A 1,892-nucleotide genomic window follows, 5' to 3' on the forward strand; every position below is an offset into this window, starting at 1 on the left:
ATCTGGAATGCTATAAACCAAACTGAAAACACTGGTTATCTTGTAGTGGGATGGCTGACCACTTTCACTTTCTACTTTAAACATTTGTGGTTTTGTTTGTTTGTTTGTTTGTTTGTTTTTTGAGATGGAGCTTCGCTCTTGTTGCCCAGGCTGGAGTGCAATGGTGTGATCTCGGTTCACTGCAATCTCCGCCTCCTAGGTTCAAGTGATTCTCCTGCCTCAGCCTCCTGAGTAGCTGGGATTACAGGCATGGGCCACCATGCCCTGCTAATTTTACATTTTTAGTAGAGATGGGGTTTCTCCATGTTGGTCAGGCTGGTCTCAAACTCCTGACCTCAGGTGATCCGCCCGCCTTGGCCTCCCAAAGTGCTGGGATTATAGGCATGAGCCACCGCACCTGGCCTGTGTTTCGATTTTTTAAAAAATATGTTGTTTCTTTATCAAGAGAAACTATTTCTTAGCCCACACATTCATGTTTCTAGTTCAAGAACACAAGTCAGTGACAAACTTCTAGGTGATGCAACTCAAATAAATTTTTTATATTCCCAAATCACTTTGCACTCTGAAAGATACCAGCCTTCCTCATTTCCTCAAAAATCTTTCATTGAACTCATAATTACTGTAGAAATCTGTGTATGTCTTTTTTCTTGGTTCAGCCACAGCAAACTTATAGAGAGCTGCGACCCCCGCAGATACAATGAGTTCTCAAACAAGATGAAAGCACAGGTGCTTGGCCAGAAGGCCACGCATCGGGTTTCGTCAAAGCACCGGAAGCCATGGCAGTTACTGTCCTTGATAGGTATGCCAGCCTTAACAACAACGTCCTTCTTGGCTGATGGGAAAATGGACGGCTGTGTTTGAATTTTTTGCAGGAAAACCATACTACTGTCATAATCCAGAAGAACAAAGAGACCTTGTATTTCCACTTTGAAGAAAAGGAAGAAAAGGGCTGGGTGCAGTGGCTCATGCCTGTAATGTCAGCACTTTGAAGGCTGAAGCAGGTGGATCACCTGAGGTCAGGAGTTTGAGACCAGCCTGGCCAACATGGTGAAACCCCATCTCTACCAAAAATACAAAAATTAGCCAGGCGTGGTGGCGGGCGCCTCTAGTCCCAGCTACTCAGGAGGCTGAGGCAGGAGAATTGCCATGCCGAGATCACACCACTGCGTTCCAGCCTAGGCGACAGAGTGAGACTCCATCTCAAAAAAAAAAAAAAAAAAAAAAAGAGGAAACGGATGCAACTTAGCAAATGAGCACTCCAGGTGAGCCAAAAAGGAGTTTATTTAATGCATGTTGCCTAAGTTAAAGTGAGTGAAGACAGAAGACAGGAAAGCGGCAAGAAAGGAAGTAAGGAGAGGGGACGAAGGCAGGCTGCTCCCCCAGTGGCAGGAGGAAGGGCAGCAGGGACGGGGCCCTGGGTCAGGGAGGCAGCCCTCTGGGACACGCTGGAGTCCTGAGGGAGCACCTGGGGATGAGTGCCAACTCCTGGCTGGTTTGGGGCTAATTAGGTTAGAGGTGGGGAATGGAGGATCAGCTGTTTTGATAACTAGCCCCAACTTATACCTTGTCCTTACACTGCAAACTGTGCCCACAGCTTCTGCCTTCATTTGCTAAGTATATCTGACTGGCTCTGTGCAGGGAAACAAGATTTTTGGCTGTAGGTGGGAGATTTAGAATCAGGGTTCAGACACGAAGGGCCTGAGAAAGATGGTAGTAGGCAGAGCTAGCTCTTCCTGCCTGCCATTCAATCCAGGAAATGCGTGGTGGGTCTAGCAGGCTCCAAGCACAGGGCTGTGGTGCTTCATGCTGGGCATTCAGAGGCAGGAGAACAGGCCTCTCTCTGAAGGGGCTCTCAGCGGGCAGGAAGCAAGGGCGCCTGCTGAAGAGCCCTG

General features: G+C 48.2%; 1 pseudogene; it reads right to left on the reverse strand.

The window, feature by feature from the left end:
* COX6CP11 (cytochrome c oxidase subunit 6C pseudogene 11) lies at positions 430–855 on the reverse strand (annotated as a pseudogene).

The sequence above is a fragment of the Homo sapiens genome, chromosome 14 (genome assembly GCF_000001405.40).
Source record: "Homo sapiens chromosome 14, GRCh38.p14 Primary Assembly".
Lineage (NCBI taxonomy): Eukaryota > Metazoa > Chordata > Mammalia > Primates > Hominidae > Homo > Homo sapiens.